General features: G+C 36.9%; 1 long non-coding RNA gene and 1 pseudogene across 1 annotated transcript in view; both read right to left on the reverse strand.

The window, feature by feature from the left end:
* Nucleotides 1–1,014: 1,014 nt before the first annotated feature.
* Nucleotides 1,015–23,866, reverse strand: part of LOC105372088 (uncharacterized) — a 122,698-nt gene continuing 99,846 nt past the window's right edge. The window contains exon 3 of the long non-coding RNA XR_935415.3: nucleotides 1,015–1,105. This is a non-coding gene — a long non-coding RNA (uncharacterized LOC105372088). The remainder of the gene's footprint in view (nucleotides 1,106–23,866) is intronic.
* On the reverse strand, nucleotides 22,487–22,593 carry RNU6-443P (RNA, U6 small nuclear 443, pseudogene; annotated as a pseudogene).

Consider the following 23,866-nt stretch of genomic DNA (forward strand, 5'->3'; position numbering starts at 1 on the left):
AATACAATGGAGATTAGACATTCAGTTATACTAGGAGTGAAAATCTAAAAATGAGTAGTCACAATTCCCGGCAAATTCAGATGTACCCCAAGTAAAAAGATATAGAAACAGAAAAAACAAGCCATTTACACTATCTTCAAGAAAACGTTGAAATATTGAATATCTCTCAAAAATGTACAATATTTCTTCAAAGGAAACTACAAATTATTGAAAATATTAAGATGGTCTAAATAAATGGAGTGGAATGTACATTGTAAACATCATGGAATAGAAGATTCAATGTAAAGATATTTCTCCATGAAGTGACCTATATATCCATTGTAAATCCAATAAAAATCTCAGTCATTTTTCAAAAGAAATTGACAAGCTCAATAAAAATAAGTTTATGGAAATGCAAGGGCCAAGTACAATCTAGGCATTCTTAAGAAGAAACAAAAGCTAAAATATTTGGATAACTTAGATTATAATTATCACCCTATTCTAATTAAAATTTTCTGGACTTGTTACAAGGTTAATCAGATATGCAACTAAAACAAAATAGAAAGGTCAGAAACTCACGTATATATGAGACCTAATGCATAATTTATAAACACTCTAATACAGTGGGAAAAAGATGGCTTTTTAAATAAGTCTGTGTCAATTTAATATTCATAAAGGAAAAATGAATCTTAAATTCATAAGCACACATAAGTCAATTTTAGAGAGATGGTAAATATAAATATATAATAAAAGGTAAGATAAAAAAGCAAAACTTCTACATGTCCATCAGATGATGAATGGATGGAGAAAAGGAGGTACACAGTTGATTCTTGAACTTGGGGATTATAGGGTCTGACCCCCCCAGGCAGTCAAAAATTCACATGTAAATTTTGACTCCCCAAAATCCTAACTTCTAGTAGTGTACTGCCAACCTTACTGATAACATAAACAGTTGATTAACATATTTTTTCATGTTATATGTATTATACACTATATTCTTACAGCAAATTAGAGAAAATAAAATGTTAAAAATCATAAGGAGGAGAAAATATATTTATTATTTTTTAAGTGGAAGTGGATCATCATTAAAGTCTTCACCCTTGTTGTCATCTTCACATTGAGTAACCTAAAGACAAGAAAGAAGAGGAAGGGTTGGTCTTGTTATATCAAGAGTGGCAGAGGCAGAAGAAAATTCATGCATAAATAGACCTGTGCAGTTCAAATCTATCTTTTTTAAATGGCCAAGTGTATTTATAATATTGAATATTATTCATCCATATAAAGAAATGAAATCTTGTTACATGCTATAAAACATAGATGAATTTTGACAATATTATGTTGAGTGAGAGAAACAAGGAATTACATGTTATATAGGCCCATTTGTAATAAATGTCTCGAATATGCAAACGTATAGAAGCAGACAGTAACTTAGTGGTTACTTAGGGCTTGGAGGTGCAGAGAGTTAGGAGAATGATAGCTAAAGGCTATGGGGTTTCTTTTGGAGATGATGAAAATGTTCTAAAATTGACTGTGATAATGATTTTTTCTATCTGTAAATACACTAAAAACTAGCAAGTTGTACCTTTAACTGTAAGTAAAAAAAAAAAAAATTAACTGTACCTCAAACTATTAAATGGGTAGATTTTATGGTATGTGAATTATATTTCAGTAAAGCCGCCATTTTTTTTTAAAAAGTGGAAACTTCTAAAGAGCAATAAACAAAGAGAAAAAATATGGCCTTCAGGCTATATGCAAATATTTTATAAACTGGAAAGAAAACACACTAATCATAAGAAAGATGATAAGTCGGACTACTTTAAACCCTTCATTAAATCAATATACGTTGTTAAGATTTAGAAATTCAAACCACAAAGTGAGAAAAGATATTTGTAATACACATACCCATAAAAGAATCATAATATACAAAGAACTCTCCAAACTGTAACCAAAATGCCAACAGGTGAACAGTAAAATGAGCAAAGAGTAAAACTTTACAAAAAATGGTTTTCCAAATAGTCAACAAAACTATGAAAAAACATTCATCATCTTTGGTCATTAAAAATGGCAAATTAATAATATATTGCAGTAACACTACACACTAGAATGGATAAAATAAAAAAAATCAAATGTTTATGGGTGAATGGAACATTCAGAACTCTTATTTATTGCACCTGTGTGGTCATATCTGCTAGAACATATTATATTATACACATACATATTACTCAACAAGTTCTCTCCTGGTTATATATCCAACAAAAATACATGCATATTTACCAAATAGCGTTTAATAATATTCATAGCAGTGAGGCTATCCTCACTGGGTTCGCAAGAGTTCTGGACATAAATAGTTTTAATTAAGCATTAATCAAGGTTGCACTTTGACCCATTTCCTTGTAACTGAAAACCATACAACACTAGATACTGACCATTTGCATCCCCATTGTCCTTTTAGACAATGAAATTAGGATTATAAGATTTTCATTTAAGAATTGCTTAAGCACATTCTGCATTTCAGTGGAAATGCTAATGCCAACTAGTTTAAAGATCCCCACCAAGGAATTGAATAAGCATGAGAAAATTTCCTTGTCCCATGACTTCACCCTGCATTCTTTAATTAATCAAGGATCTCCACACTTCAGTCCACTCCAATATCCTTAAAAACTTTAGCCCCAAACTCCTCAGAGAGATGGATTTGAGGTGTCCTTCTGTTTCTTTGTTCAGCAGTCCTAAAGGTAAACCTCTTTCTCTGTTGCAACCCAGTGTCTCGGTGTATTAACTCACCATGTACACTGGGCAATGGACCTGTTTTGATTACAGTAGCACCATTTCTGTTATTCCCAAACTGGAAACCATCTAATATTTATTAAGTGTAGATTTGATAAACAGGTTGTGGCATTTTTATAAAATAAACCACTATAAAGTCATGAAAATATATAATCTACAACTATTAACCTGGATGAACATCACAGACAATATAATGCAACATTCGGAGAATATTGCAAGCACAAAAGCATATATATTTTATTTTTTCATTTAATATATATTTCAAAGGGAGTTTAAAAAAAAACAATGGTGATAGATGTCAAGCTAATGATTGCCCATTAGTGGGAGGCAGCTGGGTTGGTTCTAGTAAGTGGAAAGTGGGAAATGGGATCAGAATATGCCAAGTTAGCAGAAAACTTATTTTCAGCTTAAGGTAATTGAAAAACAGCAAACACAGGAAGAACACTCTGACCTCTTCTTTTCTGCCTAAAATCAGGGCATAAATTTCCCTTTTTACATTCATAGAGGTGTTTCCTTCTCCTGTATAAAAAAGAGAACAACTAATTGGCATAAAAATTGTACTAAATAAACCATATTTTCCATGCATCCCCAAGTCACTTTCCTACAATTTATCATCCCTAGAAGCCAAACCACTTTTTTCTTTGTTTCGCCACTTTTTAATAATTTATTACCCTATGTTAAGATATTTAAGCTCCAAAGTCTAATTATCTTATGAGTTACTCCTTGTGTTAATATATTCAAGCTGCAATAACAAAATACCCTAGATTTATAAACAATAAAAATGCATTTATTGCTTACAGTTCTGGAGGCTGTGAAATTTAAGATCAAGGAGCCAGCAGATTCGGTGTCTGGTGAGGGTCTATTTCTTACAGATGGCACCGTTTGTGTGTCTTCTCATTACAGAAGAGGCAAGGAAGCTCCCTTCAACCTCTTTTTTAAGGGCACTAATCCTACTCATGAGGGCGGAGTTCTAATGACTTAATCACTTCTCAAAAAGCCCCAACTATTAATGCTATCATTTTGGGTATTAAGATCCAACACATAAATTTTTGGGGAACACCAACATTCAGACCACAGCACTCATCACTCAGTTTCCTCATGTGTATGCAAATTACACATGTAAATAAACTTAAAAAGAAATTCTGTTAATGTCTTTTGTCAGTTTAATTTGCATTACCCAGACACAGAAGAGAAGTGTTCTACAAGGGCACCAGAGAGGTTTCTAGGGTACTTTAATGATCTGTTTATTGATCCAGAAGGTGGTTGCAAAAGTGTGCTTATTTAGTAAAAATGTTTGGAGATGTATACATATGACATTTTGTATGGTTTACTTCACTAAAAGTATATTTGAATCATGAAAGACAGAAAAAAAGCATTGAGGGCTATTCATGTAGAAAATAGCATTAGTAAAGATAAGAGGGCAGAAAAGCACCAGCCCTATCCAGAAATAGTGAGGATAGTTTGAAGCCAAAGATTTAACTTCCATTATTACCTCAGATGAAAAAATGGAAAAGGCTATTTAGAAAAAATATTTCATTTCCCTGCTAAAAATTTCCCAGAGGAAGCTCTTTTGAGGAGGTTCTTAAACAAGTTGGGGTTTATTTTCTAAGTATCAAGTACAGTATGGAAACAGGGAAGTAGAAATGTACCAAAAATTTGCATTTTTATATGCTTTATTCACAAACCTCAGTTGTGTGAGTTCTTTCTTTGGGGCTTGAAATATAAATAAGGGGCAACATTTCTGTTTTCTCCTACTAGAAACATTTATATAACAGAGGTGAAAATGTGTTATTGAATTTAAGCTAAAGCAATAATTTTCTAAGGGTGAAATTTCAGGCTTCACTAAGCTAAAAAAGGCAGACACGAAGGATGGGGTTTGGGAGAGAAGGTGGTAAAAGAACCTTCTTTGCCTAGAATGTGCCTAGAATCAGCAAACATTTTAATCACAGAACCAGATCTAGAAAGAGACTAACTCACCTTTGGGGCAGAATGCAATGGGGAGATGCTGCACCATGTTTGACTTATAAAGGCAAGGGCAGGGGTATGCATCCCAAGGACTCAAAGCCTGTGGTTGGCCTTCAGATTGTACCTTTAAACATTTCTGGGTGAATAGTTTGTAAATATGCATATGGATGGTATGGTTTTCTATTTTTTTTCTAATATATCTCAGGTCTATGAAGTTATTTATAAGTCATTGACATAATTCCCAAACTATTTTTCAGTATTATATAAAGACTCATGAGAAATAGCCTCAGCATAGAACAAGAGCATTATAATGGTTAATTTTGTGTGTGAACTTGACTGGGTCATGATGCCCAGAGAGCTGATTAAACATCACTTTTAGGTATATTCATGTAGATGTTTCTGGAAAAGATTAGCAATGGAATTGGTGGGATGAGTAAAGTAGATAAACCTTCCCAATGTGAGTGGGCATTATACAATCTATTGAGGGCCTAAATAAAGCAAAAATAAAGAGGAGAGTTTATTAATTCTGACTCACTATGCCAAATGGGATGTCAAATTTTTGCCCTCAGTGCTCCTGGTTCTCAGGCCTTTGAACACAGAATGAAACCTACACCATTGGTCCTCTAGTTCTCAGGCCTTTGAACTACACCATTGACTTTCCTGGGTATCCAGTTTGTAGATGAAAGATCTTGGGATTTTTCAGCCTCCATTATCACATGTGGCAATACCTTATAAAAATATTTTACTACATGTATCTATATATCTACATCTATATCTACATATTTATATCTCCATGCCTATACCTATATATTTATATATAGATGTCTATATAAACTATAAATTTATATATCGTGTTGGTTCTGTTTCTCTGCAGAACCCTGACTAATAAAAACATTCAGGAGATTTTTATCTGGAGATTATGTTTAGGAGCCCTTGACATATGCTATTTAGTGTCTTATATAAAAACCTGTCTTGGCCCGGCGTGGTGGCTCACACCTGTAATCCCCAAACTTTGGGAGGCGAGGCAGGCAGATCATGAGATCAGGAGATCAAGACCAACTTGGCTAACACGGTGAAACCCCGTCTCTACTAAAAATACCAAAAATTAGCCGGGCATGGTGGCAGGCACCTGTAGTCCCAGCTACTCGGGAGGCTGAGGCAGGAGAATGGCGTGAACCTGGGAGGCAGAGTTTGCAGTGAGCTGAGATCAGACCACTGCACTCCAGCCTGGACGACAGAGAGAGACTCCATCTCACAAAAAACAAAACAAAACAAAACAAAACAAATCAACAACAACAACAACAACAAAAACCTGTCTACCCAGGCTGGGAGCAGTGGCTCACGCCTGTAATCCCAGCACTTTGGGAGGCCAAGGTGGGCAGACCACCTGAGGTTAGGAGTTCAAGACTATCCTAGCCAAAATAGTGAATCCCTGTCTCTACTAAAAATACAAAAAATTAGCCAGGTATGGTGGTGCGCACCTGTAGTCCCAGCTACTTGGGAGGCTGAGGCACGAGAATTGCTTGAACCCAAGAGGCAGAGGTTGCAGTGAGCCAAGATCCCACCACTGTACTCCAGCCTGGGCAACAGTCAGACTCTGTCTCAAACAGACAAACAACAACAAAAAACCTGTCTCCCCAAAAGAACTCCCTTCGAAAGTAAACACTCATTCCACCTTCTCAAATCTAAATATTTATGTGCAATGATTTTCTGTGCAGTAATTCCATTTCTTTCTATGCCTAAGGTTTAGGAACCTCAAGTACATCTAACTTTCCTCATAAGGTGTTTCTGGAATTGCCTGTAAATTTAATGTCTTTAAACTGAATTCTAGTTTAGGTGCATCAGGGAAGTTCACTATTTACAGAAAACATGAGGTGAACCCTTTGTAATTTGAACAAACATTTGGTAAGGAAGTAATCATCTTTCATTACCTTGGCTTGTTATTACTCTATCCTTAAAGTGTGAGTATCACCGAATTGATTCTTTATGTTTACCTGGTTAAAACTTCTCTCCCGATTTTTTTATGCTTCTTTCCAACAGAGTTGTCCATATTATGTGCACCAGTTTCTACCAGGAGTATTATTTTTTGAAGTACTTTGTCTACTGTTTGGCCTAGATATCTACCCAATTGAAGCATTCTTATGATGGTAATGATGAATGTCTCTGACCTATTCTAACTATTGTGCTCCTTGGACTCATTTTCTCCAGGTGCTTCATTCAAGGCTGTGGTACTCCAGGAATTTAACTGATGTCTTTAAAGATTTTTTAAACTTTACTTTTTTTTCTTTTCTAGTGAATCCCTCTAGTAGAAACTGTCAGTCCCCAGGATGTATTTTCCACTACCTACTTAGTAATAGAACCCCCAATTTTTAACTGGATACTAGCTTCCCAAGGGAAAAGTACTGCATTTCCCAGCCTCCCTTGCAGCTAGGCCTGTCCTATAACTAAGTATTGACAATGGGATGTCAACAGAATCATGGTGTTCAAATACTAGGAAATATACTTAAAATAAAGTATATTTTAAGTATACTTTAATACTAGGCATACTCTAGTTCCTTTTTTCATCTTTTCTGATAGTTGAAATACAGACATTATGGATTCTGAGAAGAAAACCACATGCTAAATATTTCAGAAAAAGAAATTAGAGTGAACTTGGGTCCCTCTAGACTTATTTGAAACAAAAAGGAAATAAATTACCTTTATTTAATTTACTAGTATGTTGAATGATCTGTCCCTCACAGGAACCTAATAGTAATTGATGCATTTCCATTTTCTACTCATTATCTATGTGACTTCTATAGTTTGAATGTCCCCACCAAAATTCATGTTGAAGCTTAATCCTATGTGGCAGTATTAAAAGGTGGGGCCTTTAAGAGGTGATTGAGTCATGAGGGCTTTTTCTAAAGACTAATGGGTAAATGGATTAGTGAGTTATCACGGGACGGAAATTGGTAGCTTTATAAGAAGAGAAAAAATGACCTGAGGACAGCATGTTAGCACACTCAGCTCTCTTGCCATGTGATGCCCTGCACCACCTCAGGACTCTTCAGAGTCCCCATCAGCAAGAAGGCTCTCACCAGATGCAACTCCTCAACCTTGGGCTTCTTAGCCTTCATAGTTGTAAGAAATAAAGTTATTATCTTTACAATTTACCCAGTTTCAGGTATTTGGTTATAAGCAACAGAAAATGGACTAAGACAGTGACTTTGGGCAATTACTTAAGCTTTTAAAAACATTTCCCTAATATGTGGAATGGGAACCATATAGTACCTGTCTCAGGGGTTGTTTTGTGTAACTTGTGGGATTATTCATACAAATATATCAGTAAATGTCTTGGCCTATAGTAATCACCAGTAAATTTTGATTTTATTATTTCAAACATTTTATGGATTAAGTATACTTAAATTCAGGATTGCTATTTCTATTATTTCCAAGTGCATGTTGAATAAGAATTCGACTCTTGAGATCTGTTTAGAGCTACCTGCTATGAGAGCCCGTAAGTGCCTCAATGTCATCGTATCTAAAAACCAACTTACTATATTGTTTTCAACTTGCTGTTTTCCTGAATTTCTTATGTCAGTGAATATCCTCGCTGTCTACCTAGTTATGCAAGCAAAATATACCATTGTCTTATGCTATTTGTTACGCAATCTATTATCTCCAAATACTCTAAGTTATGTCTTTATAATATTCTCTATTCACACTCCTCCTTCACTTCCCCTGTCTCTAGTTCAAGTACTCATCTCATTTGCATTACTGCAGGACTCTCATAATTGTTCTTCCTATGTACATATAACCATCAAGGAATCTTATTATAGATGGATGTTTAATCAGGCCAGTATCCTGCTTAAGATCTTCTTCATGGCATACTTTTGGATAAAAATAACATTGAAACTTCATATCATGGTCTACAAAGTTTATGCTCTTTTTCTGCCTAACTTATATTTTCATTCCCTGTCTCTTTTCCAATCAAACCCTTAACATTAGCCATAAAAATAACTAGCATGTATGGAGTCATGTACTTTTCTAAACACTTGACCTGAGCAGTCTTCATTAATCTGTTGTACAATCTTTTGAGGAAGATACCATTATTATTACCAGACAGTATTGCCAGATGAGGAAAGTGAAGCATCGAGAGGTCAGAGGCTTCTTCAAGTTCTCATAGCAAGCGACAGAACCAGAGTTCTAGCTTGCATGGAGCCTGCAATTGTTTTTTCAATAGCAACTCCTCTGAGAAGACTTCCTGAGTTTTCCAGAAAGATAAGGCACCCGCCCACCAAGTGCTCCAGTAGCATATGACCCATGCTTCTCTTACAGCCCTTACCCTCCATTGTTTGTATTTATTTGCCTCTCTGATCAGGTTGTAAGGACAGATGAGATTTATGTCATTCAATTTGATATCCCAGAGTGTAAAATAGTGCATGGAACATAGTACTCTACAAACTTTTCTTGAACATATGAATAAAAATAAAAAGTAAATGTATAAGTGAAAGAAAAACATCATAATGGCCCAGACATACATATGCACAGTAACACACACACATATGCACAGTAACACACGTACCCACACATGTGCACATGGGCACATACCAAACAAAAATTAAAATGTGCAGTGGGAAAAACAGTTCATTGGCAGTCAGGCAATCTAATGTCTAGATTTAGTATTGGAGCTACTGACCTGGATTGATTTTATAAATTTATCTTCTGTTTTGTGGGTTCTATTTTTGTTTTTGAAGCAGCTTATTTATAAAAAAAAAAAAAATCAGGTCCCATGAAGACATTAGGAACTCAGATCTGGCAAATTATGCCAAGATAGAAACACCCCATGTGCCCTCTCAGCTGCATGGAGCAGATGCTCTTCTTGTTGGACACAGACCCTGAATGATGTTGGGTGTGGAAAAAAAAAGTAGGTTTTTTTTTTTTTTTTTTGAATCAGCTTTTTAAAAAAAGGACAACCTTTTTTGTGAGGACATGAGCATAGGTCCATATCTTCACCACAGCAATGAGACAGCAGGGGGCTATCAATTCTGCTGCTGTTAAAGGGTTCAGCTGGAACCTGCCTGCCCTCCTGAACTGTCTTTATTCCAGGCTTGGTCTATCACCAGAGCCCTCCCTCTAGATCTTTGATCGTCACTGCCCATCTGCACTTTGAATCATCATGCCTAAATAAAGCTCTATTCAGGAATTCTAATCCTCTAGACCACTCCACAGTAGACTTTCCAAACAGCATATACACAAGTAGAGCATTTCTAAAGGCCCTTACATATCTAAATGATATGATTTATTTTGCCACCTTGGGATCTGGTGTCCAGGAATGCTTTGAATTCCATTAATAGATGAGTTCCAGAAAGATTCATTATTGCTCCTCATGGGACATATTTTTGCCTTTATTTTAACAAGAAAGGTAGCATTAGAATTACAGTATAATCTTCTCCAAAATAATGTATAGGAATGGGAGTTTAGGAAGCTGAAAAATGAAACACATGTGCTTTTGACCTCAGCTTACTGGTACTGCTAATGTTTGTGCTACTAACTGAATTGCTGCTGACTTTTAATCAAAGAAGAAAAAGATCAAATACATATAAATTGAACTAAACAAGGGAAATTATCAGACATGTTTAGAAGGCATCTGGGAGATGAGAAAACAGATAACAATCTGCAAGTAGCCACATCAAAACAAAAGGAGGATGGGAAGGAAATAGAAGAAGAACAACTTCACGGCTAATAACCACAGACCCAAGTATAATAGCAACTGCCTGCTATATTTCACATGTTCCTAATTTGATTTTTTATGGCACACCTGAAGAATATTTGACAGAAATTTAGGAGATGAAGATAAAAATAGAGTAGCTCACTAGATCATTCCCTGGCTCAGTGGATCTCCTTTTGGTCAATACTGTATTAATTTTTTATTGTCTTCATAAAAAATGATCACCAGTAGTTGAAGAATGAAAGATGGAAGTGGAATTCTCAGCCCCTTTGTTTAGTTTCAAATGTTCTGCCTGTTATCTTCTAGAATTTTTACAATTTCAGGTCTTAGATTTGAGTCCTTGATCCATCTTGAGTTGATTTTTGTATAAGGTGAGAGATAAGGATCCAGTTTCATTCTGCTACACTGTGGCTTGCCAATTATCCCAGCACCATTTGTTGAAAAGGGTGTCTGTTCCCTACATTATGTTCGTGTTTGCTTTGTTGAAGATTAGTTGGCTGTAAGTATTTGGATTTATTTCTAGGTTCTCTCCAAAAGCAAATACAACAAAAACAAAGGTAAATATGTGGGACTTAATTAAACTGAAGAGCTTCTGGACAGCAAAAGGAACAGTCAGCAGAGTAAACAGACAACCCACAGAGTGGGAGAAAACCTTCAAAATCTGTACATCTGACAAAGGACTAATATCCAGAATCTACAAAAAAACTCAAACAAATTAGCAACATAAAAACAATGCCATAAAAAAGCAGGCTAAGGACATGAATAGACAACTCTCAAAAAAGATACACTAATGGCCAACAAACATATGAAAAAATGCTCAACATCACTAATGATCAGGGAAATGCAAATGAAAACCACAATGCAATACCACCTTAGTCCTGCAACAATGCATATTCAAAAAATCAAAAATAATAGATGTTGGTGTGGATGCAATGAAAAAGGAACACTTATACACTGCTGGTGGGAATGTAAACTAGTACAACCATTGTGGAAAACACTGTGGAGATTCCTTAAAAAATTAAAAGTAGAACTACCATTTGATCCAGCAATCTAACTAATGGGTATCTACCCAGAGGAAAAGAAGTCATTATACAAAAAAGATAATTGCGCACGCATGTTTACAGCAGCGCAATTTGCAATTGTAAAAATATAGAACCAGCCCAAGTGCCCATCCGTCAACGAGTGGATAAAGAAATTTTGGTGTGTGTATATAGGTAGTATTCCATCGTGTGTGTCTATATATATATATATATATATATATATATATATGGACAACCAGATATATATATATATATCCCGTTATATATATGGACAACTAGATGTGTGTGTATGTGTGTGTGTGTATATATATATATACACACACACAATGAGATGTATATATAATATATACAGTTACATATATATATATATATATATATATATATATATATATATATACACGCACATACAATGGAATACTACTCAACCATGAAAAGGAACAAATTAATGGCATTCACAGCAACCTGGATGGAACTGGAGACTATTATTCTAAGTGAAGTATCTAAGGAATGGGAAACCAAACACCGTATGTTCTTACTCAAAAGTGGGAGCTAAGTGTTGAAGATGCAAAGGCATAAGAATGATATAATGGACTTTGGGCACTAAGGGGAAAGGGTGGGATGGGGGTGAGAGGCAAAAGACTACAAATTGAGTTCAGTGTATACTGCTCAGATGATGGGTGCACCAAAATCTCACAGATCATCATTAAAGAACCTACCCATGTAACCAAATACCACCTGTTCCCCAAAAACCTACGGAAATAAAAAAATTTTTTAAATGCTCTGCCTGTTATTCTGTATCTCCTTATAGGACTTCATGACTAGTCAGGTGGAATTAGAGAAGGAAGAGCTCATAGAAGCTGCAGTTAGGCTTTGAAGATCTCCAGCCTGATTCTGTAGTGTATTGATTCAAAAGAACAAAACCAAAGATCTCATGAAGCAGGTAAGCCTTTATTGTTCTAAAGAATTAGACATGATTGTCCTTGCTAGAGTGAAGACTCAAGGTCTCATCAAGGGGAAAGCATGTCTAGTGTGTCTTCATAAATGCTATATCCTGGTGTATTAATATCCTAACATTTCTTCTGCTTAGTTTTTAGCTGTTGGGAACCGTTTAGATGGCATTAAGCTTTATCTTCTTTCATTGCATTAGGATTCTGGTTAACTATTTCTGTGTACCAAGCCACCCCAAAAGTTAATAGCTTAAAATAACAATTTATTATATGGTTGGTGCAAAAGTAATTGTTGTTTCTGCCATTACTTTTAACGGTGCAGTTGAAACTGCAATGAATTTTGCACCAACCAATAATAACCTCATGGTTCTGAGGGCTGACTGAGCTTACCTAGACAGTTCTTGCTGAAAGCCTCTCATGTGGTTGCAGTCAGACAATAGCTGGAGCTGGTATCATCAGAAGGATGGAGTGGTCTAGATATCCAAGATAGCTCTCTAACAGGGCTAGGAGTTGATGCTCGCTATCAGCTGGGATCTGAGGCTATCTACAGGAACACCTATACATGGCTACTACATGAATGTTGGGCTCTCAGTGTTGGCATTAGATTCACAGTGTCACTTCTGCCATATTATATTGGACAACATAGTCACTGGCCCTGGATCACCCAGATTCAAAGGGGTAAAGAAATAGACTTGATGGAGGAGCAGCAACATCACACTATAAAAGAGTGTGAAACAGGAAACATTGCTTTGCTCACGTTTTGAAAATGTATTCTTCCACAATTATTGGCATATAATCTTTGGGTTGCTAAACTTTTAGATAACATATGCCAAGAACTAGCCAAGTCCTCCATATTTTACAGCCTCTCTACTTGTCTTTTAGAGCTCTTTCTGATTATATGCTCTGCTCCTTAAATATTCTGGGCTCTCATGTTCCCTTAATTCTCATTTTTCAGCCTTTTCCCCTATCAAAACTCTCCTATTTTGTGCTCCACTTTTTCAGGATCAGTTTCTCTGCTGGGTAATTATGGGTAATGTGAGATGTTTAACTTTCATTTTCTGTATTGGCATCTCTGTGCAGGTGTCTGCTGATAAAATTAGGTTCCCAGGATATGTGGTACAACATGAACACATAATTTTCATTACTGGCTAATATTTTGGCTATGGATGGCTATAAAGAACTTAGTTTTATAGTGTGAAAATGTCAAGAAAATGCCCTTAGTCATTCAGTTTTAATGCCTGGAACAAGGCCAGGCATAAGAAGCCAGGTTATTTTATTTCTCTTGATCTAGGTTGTGGCTTTGCTGGCCTTACATAGCCTTTCAGAGGTGTAGCTGCCCTTCCCAGGCAACTCCTATCCCCGGAGGGGACACACATGTATACAACGAAAGATATTCACTATAGATACATCAGATCTACTTATATTTCCTTAATGTCTCCCAAAAAGTTACCATCATTAGTCTTGGAGAATGAAGTAGGTAACCATTTCAAAGGACAAGACAGTTTGTATAATGGTTAAGGACCAGACTTGGAGGCAGAGGTCCTGAGTTTAAATCCAAGACCTGTAACTTAATATATGAAGGTTAGGCAGCTCACTCTACTTCAGTTTCCTCAACTGTAAAATGAGGGCAGTGATAGCACCTACCTCAAAAAACTGCTGTGAGAATTGTACATACCTGGCATGCAGCAAGTACTATAAGTATTTGCTATTATTCCTATTTTGTCATTGGCTACTTTTGAAGGATCTCCATACTATTAGAGAAGAGTAATAGACTGTGTGATCAATAAGAGATGAAATGATAGACATCCTTTTGGTGTGTTCACTGGTTAATGTGTTGCCCCTTCCAGGGAATATAATGCTGTAAAAACCATCATTGTATCAATATTCTCCTGCTGGGTCCATGGCTCCTTAAGGAGGAGAGCATATGGTAGAATTTCAGGCACCATAGGAGGTCAATGAGGGGAATATTTTTGTTGAAGGAGAAAACTCTTTTAAAGTTGCCAATTACGTCTACCCATTGAGTCAGCTATACTCCTTAAGTATAAAAATAAAATTATTTGTATGTTTCTATTTTTCATTGTAAAGTTTTATGTTTTTTTAATTGTTAAAAATTCCTCAATGTCAAACCATTCCAAAAGGTTATAACTCCCAAAATGTTAAAAATCACTGACTAGAGATAAATTGTAATTCAAAGCCCATGATCCCATAATCAGGGAAAATTTGTAGGCTCCAAAAACTAGTAAGATGATAAGACTAGGTTCAAAAATATGTATTATTCTAAGGCATATTCTGACCTGGATAATTACTAAGAAGCTCAGAAGAAAAACAATTACATATCAACACAATTGCTATCCAAAAACAAACAAAAACCATAACTAATACCAAAAAAGAATAGCAAAATATATTTTTAGCACCTACTCCATTAAAAGACCTAGTCTCTTTTCATAAGAGACCTATAAGATTTTACTAATTCAATTTTATATTGGAAGAAGTGAAGGCTTGAAGAAATCAAGCAACTTGCCCAAGTCCTGCAGGTGGTAGCTTTATATGCCAAGAGTCAAATTCAGATATCTCTAGCTCCGTGCTCAAACTCTGAAACTCCAACCTCTGTTCACACATTCAGTGCTCACAACACAAGTCCTGGCTTTTCATGTTGGCAGGAGAGGAGCTCCATAGTTAATCCTAAAATGCTTTTCTGCCTCATCTTTGTTCGTCACCCTAGACCAATTCTCTATTCCAGCTGGGGCAGTCTTCTCACTGACCTTGTTATCTGTTGTGCCTTACTGTGTCCTCTGGACCTTCAGGTTTCACACCTGTAATACTCTCCTGTTCTCCGCTCTGCTGATTTAAACCTTGATATTCCTCAGAACATTCTTAATGTAATCAGCTTCACACATCTTCCCCTGGGCTCCCAAATTCAGTGCAATTACCTGTCTGCTGGACTTCCTGTGTCATTGCTGGAGTTTCGTATGCCCGACATCATAGTTTCCTTTTGTTTCTGTGCAGTATACAGCTTGCCTCCCTGAATAGGGCAGGGTCTTATGCCTCCTCTTACAACTTTTATCTAACACATGGTAAGCCCTCAATAAATGCTAGGTAATTGACTAATGATCTGTTTTGTGACAAAAAAAAAAAAGCCTTTGGTTGAGTAGTCTGTCGTTTGTTACAGAATTTCACAAGAGAGAATAAGTCCTTGAAAATAAAAGTGATTGAGAAGAGTTAATAGAAAAGTCTTCCTCATTTGAGACCAGGATGCTCAACATGGTGAAACCCTGTCTCTACTAAAAATAAAAAATTAGCTGGATGTGGTGGCACACGCCTATAGTCCTAGCTACTCGGGAGGTTGAGGCAGGAGAATCACTTGAACCTGGGAAGAGGAGATTGCAGTGAGCTGAGATCACACCACTGCACTCCAACCTGGGCAACAGGATGAGACTCCATCTCAAAACAAAAACAAATAAAGATCTTCCTCAGAAGAGAAAATTTCTCCTTCTCCTTTGCAGAAAATGCCACTGTAGTGCAAAAACTTTAAAAATGCAAACATTTTTAAAGAAAACAAAAACTTTATAAATGCAAAGTTCAGCATAAATACATGTGACCTACACATGTTGTTGCTGTTATATAGTGCTCAGATTAGGCAAAGAAATTGAATCAATACTGGGGAGAAAAGAAGTACATTGACAGGTCTTTTCCAGATAGCCTGCAAGATTCCCATGATGAGAATAAAAACTATGGCCAAGGAAATCAATAAAGAAAAAAAGTTACCCAAAGTCAGGTCTAATAATTTGAAGAATTTTACATGCTTCAGCTAGATTCTCAGAGACATCAAACAACTTGTCCAAGTTCTGCAGGTGGTGGCTTTATATGCCAAGAGTCACCCAGATGAGTGTGTTACTCTTCATGCAGTGAGACATGGGCTTGCATTTACTCTGTGACAAAAGTTCATTATCTAGGAAACAAAGAAACTGAACTGAACTGAACAATCGCAAACGTTAGTTTGAGCCATTTTAAATTCTTTGGCTTCAAACAGGGTAATCCTAAAGGACTAAAGTAGGGAAACTTTGTAACTGGTGACCTCTTATTTTTCTAGAATTCACCTTCCCCACCCTGCCCCTCTTCTAACCTTCCCAAGGCAGAAAATATTGTCATGTTCCCCTCTGGTTTATCACTAACAAATCTATATCTTTATATTACAGCTTGCAACCTCTTTCTTGGGTATTATCTTATATGGCCTTCACAAGTTCATGTTATACAGAAACAAAGTCCTTTTGCAGATGTTCAGTTTCAGGGAGGTTAAGAAACTTACCACAGGCTTTGATGTGTTGGGGCAGGTAGTTGTACCTCCGGTACTTTTTTCTTTCCCTGGGCCATGCTCTCTCTCAGGGGCTAACAATGTAGGTGATTCTCCAAACTGATCTGATATTACTGAGCCTATGTCCCACAGCTTTGCTATCTGTTCTTCTTCATTACTTAAAGAAGAACTCTACTCAAGTTCCTCATTTAAACAGGATGCCTAGCTCTACTAAAATCTCGGCATGAAACAATAACGTCTGTCTTAATCGATGACTGAAAGAAATTTCCTCCCATAAATATCAAATAGAATGTCAAAGTCAACCCACTAGGCCTAGGGAGGGTAACAGTGAAAATTTTAAGTTTCAGGGCCTGATTAAGAAGAAAAATAGGTAGGACTGAAAGACATATAGGTTTATATTTTCTTTAAAAACCTCCAAATATTGCTGTCTTCAATGAACACACAGTGGCAGGAGTTGAGGATGGTTAGCAGTGGAAATTCAACAGATGTAAAAGGAAAAAGTTGTATCTTTAAGATTAGATAGACATATAGATACAGTGGTAGATATATATGTACATGTAGATTTCTTTCAAGTTAGGCAAGTTATAAATTGAATGTACAATTTATAATTCAGCAGCATGTAGTCAAGTTCTAAACTGCAGGGATGAAGTGCTGAGTGAGGAGCTGAAAGAAGGAGTAAAGATCACTAATAGAATGCAGGTTTAGGAAGGGGATTTGAGCCCAGCTCTGAAGGATGTCTAGGCTTTATACGTGGGAAAGTGGAGACAACACTAGTGCTGGAGCTGACAGTTAAAGTGCACGCAAAATTTCTGTCGAAAACTACACATATGATCTTCACCTAATTTTCTTCCTCTTACCCGAAGATGGAAGAGTGAATCAAGGTGTAGAAAAAGGAAGAGAATAATATGACCCTGATATCACGAAGACTTTGTCTGAAAGCAATAAGGAAGAAATCTTAGTAGACAGGGAGAGACTGCTGTCACATGTGTTAAACTACAATTTCCCAAGTAATACTGCTTTTCAATTTGTGTTTTATCTCTTCCCTTGAGTCCCACCACAGCGCCAGGCCCTGGGATGCTCTAGTCTTGAAACACTTCAGAGCAACAGTTTTAGTGCACCCCAGGGAGGCAGCTAAATGCTAGCACATCTGTGCATTTTATAGAAACCGAAGCATAGGCAAATTGGTTTTTTTGGGGAGAGGAGGAGGGATGTCCGACTTTCTTTTACCTTCACAAGACTCTTTGAATACAATCCACTTCATAGCCCATATGGCTTGTGTATATGGATGGACATAACAATTCAAACATTTTCAGAAATAGGTAGAAGTATCACTAAGGACTTGGAAGAGTCCAATTTCCTTACTTTTCATCACTGACACTCTTCAGTTTTCATTTCTCTTTGCCAGTATTTGGACATATATATTTTTTCTTATCTCTTTTAACACTAATTAATAGACTATATTTTTCAGAGCAGTTTTACTTTTACAGAAAAATTGAGCAGAAAGTACAAGTCCACATGCCCCAACACCTCCCATCATATTTTTTTCTGTAATTAATATCTTGCATTATTATTGCATACTTGATGAGCAAACATTAAGAAATTATATAAATTAAAGCTTGTAGTTTACACTGGAGTCTGTCTTGTGTTATATAGTTCTTTGGGCTTTGAGAGATGTATAATGCCAGGTATCAACCCATATATTGTCATACAAAAGAGTTTCAGTGCCTGAAAATCCCCCGTGCTCCATCTCTTCATCCCTCAATCCTCTCATGCTTCTTTTTTTTTGAGACAGATCCTCATTCTGTCACCCAGGCTGGACTGCAGGGGCATGATCTCAGCTCACTGCAACCTCCGCCTCCCAGGTTCAAGTGATTCTCCTGCCTCAGCCTCCCAAGTAGCTGGGACTACAGGTGCCCACCATCACGCCCGGCTAATTTTTTTTTTTTATTTTTAGTAGAGACAGGGTTTCCCCATATTGGCCAGGCTGGTCTCGAACTCCTGACCTTGTGATCTGTCCACCTCGGCCTCCCAAAGTGCTGGGATTACAGGCGTGAGCCACCGCGCCGGAGCTTCTTTCTTAAAATGTAAAAATCTGTAGAACTATAAAGTGAGAAAGAGCTTATAATCTGCCATAGCAAGTCTTTATAGAAGAGGCTGAAAGTGAAATATTGTTCAATTTAATAATGGAATAGTGGTGGCATGCTAGTCCTGAATTCTTTCCTCCTGCCCCACCATTACATGGTGTTTCTCAGGATAGGACAAAAAGTAACAGCCAAGTGCTTACAGCTCAAATGAGGATCAAGCACCACCCTTAAATTATTTTTTTTAAATAAATAGGATTATAATGCTCTTAGGATGGGAAGACACATTTGGAGGTGTATTTAACTGGGGGAGGGCATAACTGAAATTCCCTAAGCAGATCTAGAGGCATATGGTGGGGATAAAAAGGGACGGTTCAGGGACTGATGTTTATGGCCAACTTTTGGTTTCAGCCTCTAAAGGGAAAAGGTAAATGAATCTTTGAAGTTTCCTTCTAAAATTCTCAGACTGGCTTAATCAGGAAAAGCAGGGAAACAAGTTCCACGGCCCAAAGTTTTGCTCAAGAACAAAGTGTTCTTGCTAAAACATCTTTCGGTGTCATGATTAAGAACATGACCTCTGTGGTGAGACTGACATGAATTCAAATTGTGACTCCTGGATCTGTGTGATGTCTGTACATCCCAGTTTCTCCAGCCGATGTGTGACCAACAGTACCTATATTTTAACTGGGAATTGTAAAGAAGAAAATGAGAGGGCAGTTGCCAAGAGGCTTACTAGCCACTGACCAACATGATGTAATTCGCAAACTAATTCATAATGCAGGGTCATAATAATGAGCTGCTGAATGATATGCTAGCAAAAAGAAGACGAACCTCCCTAAGGAGTTAGAAAAGAAATCAGAGAAAAGCTGGAGTGTGTTTGTGTGTTTGCATGTGTGTATGAATGAATGATGTTTGAACAATTACAAAAGAAAAGGAGGACCCTAGGGATTGACAGGCAGGATGGTAAATGATAGATGAAGTTTCCAGAAACGGAAGTAGGAGATCAGTGGGTACAAACCAAATTTGAGAGAGTGGGCAGCATGCTGGGAATCCCAGTTAAGGCATCTTTCTTTGACCTTATGAAAGAAAAAATTCTGTTTTAAATTGAAAAACTATACTTTGTTTTATTAACTATTATTATTATTATTATTACTGTTTAATTAATTTCCAGGTTCTTTATCAAGAAGATACTTTTTGTTTTTTCCACTTTACGAAGGTAAATCAGAATAAATACCTGCCTCCAACCAATGAAATGTTAATTCATGTACTTAGCAGATAAATCACTTTAGTGTTGGCCTAAACTCTTCACCCTAGCATCCCCAGACCCCCTCACTGGAGAACACGAATTAATGAGCTACATAAAACCCTGCAACATTGTATTCTCAGTGTGGGCTTATGAGACAAATACCCAAGTAAAAGGTGAAAACAAGAAAATATTTAGCAGGAAGTTTAATTCTGTCTGAGGGATTAAAAATCGCTGTGTTAAGGCTCAACTGTTCTGTAGAGCCACACACCTGGGGACCCTGAGACCTGAGAGCTAAGGTAAGTAAAGCCCTTTGGTTGGTGGTGAAAAGAATGAACAAGCAAGATTCTACTAGTTCTCAAGAGCTGTTATGAAATCCAAAAAAATGGTTCTTGGAATTTCAGGCTGTTGGCCCTCTGTTCTCTACTGAAAGATATCCCGTTGCAGCTAGGCAGTCCACTTTCTTCCTGCATGTTTTGGTACCAAGAAATGGTCTCTAATTTGTGCACACTGTTGGCCATAAATAGCTGATGGTTTGTACACACCATTTCAATTTCATTATAATGCTTTTCAAATTTTCATTCTTTGAAATTTTTAAGTTTTCATTCTTAAGTGAGCCATCAAAGCCTTATAATGCAGAAGAGTGAGGGGAAAAGATTTGGTGTTTTAATTTTAGACAGCAGTTGTCAGTTTGGAGAGAAAACATTTGAGGAGGTAGGTGAGAGAGATAGGGAAAGAGAGCCAGGGAATGTGTTGGGCCACTAAAGCCAGGCCAACCACAAATACATTCACCATGGAGAAGTAAATCTGACCCTCAATTCCATCTATCTACATGACAACTGTTCTCCTTCAAATGGTGGTTCACGTTCATATAATAAAAACATCTAAGAAATGGGGCTGAATGTGTCTTACTTCAATGTTTATGAGAGTGTTCTGGAAGGAATTTTTTCTCCAATATATAAGAATTCAGCATGCCTAGCAGAGAGGATTTGGTAAGGGGCAGAGAGAAGCATTTTTTGTCATTATGTTAATGTACCATCCCAGCTTCACTATTGATGCCAACAGCCCTCAGGATGGGAGGTTTTCTCTCACTCCCAGGTCAATTCCTCTGCGTGTGTTGCACAGAGAGTCCCCTTCAACAGGGAGCCTTGACTCGTGAACATAGACCTATATACGGGGCCATTCCCACGCACATAAGAAACAGTAATCTCAGGACTGTTTCCTATTTTTTATATTTCAAATCCAGGCTGTGGGTTTTTCAGTTGGAGCTATTTGATTTCATTCAGGGACAGCAGTGTAAGGGAAGCTGGAAAACTGTTCCACCAGGCTTCAAGCATATGCCTGGATTTGTTTACCATAAACAAAGTCTTCTCAGTGACTGTTACTGTCACCATAGCAACAAGATTGAGGTTACATCTATCAACAAAGCACCACATAAGGCGAAGGCGAGCAGTTAATAAAGAAGAGCAATGATAATTACACAGCCGCCGGCCGCCAGCTCAAACACGGAGGCCTTTTTTTTTCCCCCAAATTCTAGTTCCATTTTCAATGTAGACATGGAAAGTATAACTCAAAAGGCATTGGATGCCCATTCCTGGAGTTGTCTGGGAGATGAAAAAATAAACAGCTGGAACTTCTTCACAGATCTTAGCTCCATGGCATAACTCTATTAGTAGGTTTACTTACCTCAGTAGGGTAAAACTGCCTCATTAATGATTAAGAAAAAGAAATCAGAAATGTCTGTGGAAAAATCAATTTCTGATTTAAAATACAAATATTAAAACAAAAACCCAGAGATCAAGAATGGGCTTACAGAGGAAAGTGAAATTAAATGGACATAATTTCCTGTGCTCTTCATTGAGATGAGTAGGTTTAGGTGAACAGGCCTCCACCTATGCACATTTTGGGCAAGATTTCATTGGCTATTTGGGGTCTTTTGTGGTTCCGTGCAAATTTTAGGATTAAAATTTTTATTTTACTCTACATTCAAAGGGTACATGTGCAGGATTCTTCCATGGATATATTGCCTGATGCTGAGGTTTGGGCTTCTAATGATCCTAACATCCAAGCAGTGAACATAGTATCTGATAGGTGGTTTTCCTATCTTTCCCCCTTCTCTCCCTCTCCACTGTTAGAATCCTTAGTGTTTATTGCTCCCATCTTTGTGTCTGTGTGTACCCAATGTCTAGCTCCCATTTATAGTAAAAACATGCAGTTTTTGGTTTGCTGTTTCTGTGTTAATTCACTTAAGATAATGGCCTGCAGCTGTATTCATGTTCCTGCAAAGGATATGATTGTGTTCTTTTTTATAGCTGCATAGAATTCCATGGTGTATATTTACCACATTTTTAAAAATCCAATCCACTGTTGATGGAAACCTGGGTAGATTTTATGTCTTTGCTATTGTGAATAGTATTACTATAAAAAAAGTGTGCAATGCTTTATGAATTTGCATATCATCCTTGCACAGGAGCCATGCTAATCTTTTCTATGTTGTTCCAATTTCAGTAGATGTGGTGCCCAAGCAAGCAAAATTTTAGAATTTTTTCCCTATATCTATGAAAAATGACATTAGAATTTTAATAAGGATTGCACTGAATCTCTGGATCCCTTTGGGTAGTATGGACATTTAAATATTAATTCAATCCATGAAAACAAGATGTCTTTCCATTTATTAATATTTGTGTAATCTTTAATTTATTTCCTCAGTGTTTATTGTTTCTGGTATAAGGCTCTTTCACTTCCTTGGTCACGTTTACTCCCAGTAGCTTATTGGTTTATTTATGTTTGATGCAATTGTAAATTGAATAGATCCCTTAATTTTTTTCACATAGTTCAATTTTGTGGCTAAATCATCCTTTCAGCTTAATATAATCCACTGTTGCTAACAAAGTAATTGTTTATACTCCAAAATATCTAGGGTATCTTCAGAGACCCTCTGCAAGCTGCTATGACTCATCTATACTCAAATGTCTGGGAAATCTTGGTCAACCTTATTCCCCAACCCTAATGATCATATTGTAAAAATACATAGGCCAATAACCTATATAAAACATAAAGGCCAGGGACCTAACTGGACAAAAGATGGTTTTTAGAGTTGCCTTGAGAACCTCTTACCTCACCTATCTTCCAGTGGTGCCTCTTCCCAGCTGCAGTCTTATCTGAACACTCTTGTTTACCAAAGATTAAGCCTTGAATATGCCTTTTAGATACACAATAGCCATACTTCCCAGCTTCCCAGAACACTTCTCCAGACAAGGCGTAGAACATGCCATGAACAGGTAAACATGACAGTCATGAAAGAGATTGAAAGTAATTCTGGGTCTGACATAAGGAGCACTTGGGAAAATTTTAACATTCTGATTCCTAATCATATATATATATATAGAGAGAGAGAGAGAGAGAGAGAGAGAGACAGCCATCTTAGTTATTCCCAGGACTTCCTTTGATGTGGGGAACTCATCCCACTTACAGCCTTGGTTCTGTTACTTTCCCATTTCTCCAGCTGGCGTGACTTCACTGTGTCTCCGGGGTGCTGTACCTACTGTAGCTTTTCTGAAAAAATGTAGGCGGATTTGTTTTCTTCTTCTCCCCAAAATTCCCGCATTAATCATCAGCCAAATTTGATAAAAAATTATTTTTCTTTTTCTTTTTGTTTTTAAGCAAAAGCATTTAAAATAAAACTTGCTAAGATGCTATGGAAAAATAAATAATAAAAGGAAAACATCAAAGCAAATTGCAGTTTTCTGATTCTGTGATGACAAGTGACCTAAATAGTGAGGTATTCAGACTCCTGGTTCATATT

This window comes from Homo sapiens, chromosome 18, assembly GCF_000001405.40.
Source record: "Homo sapiens chromosome 18, GRCh38.p14 Primary Assembly".
Taxonomy (NCBI): Eukaryota; Metazoa; Chordata; class Mammalia; order Primates; family Hominidae; genus Homo; species Homo sapiens.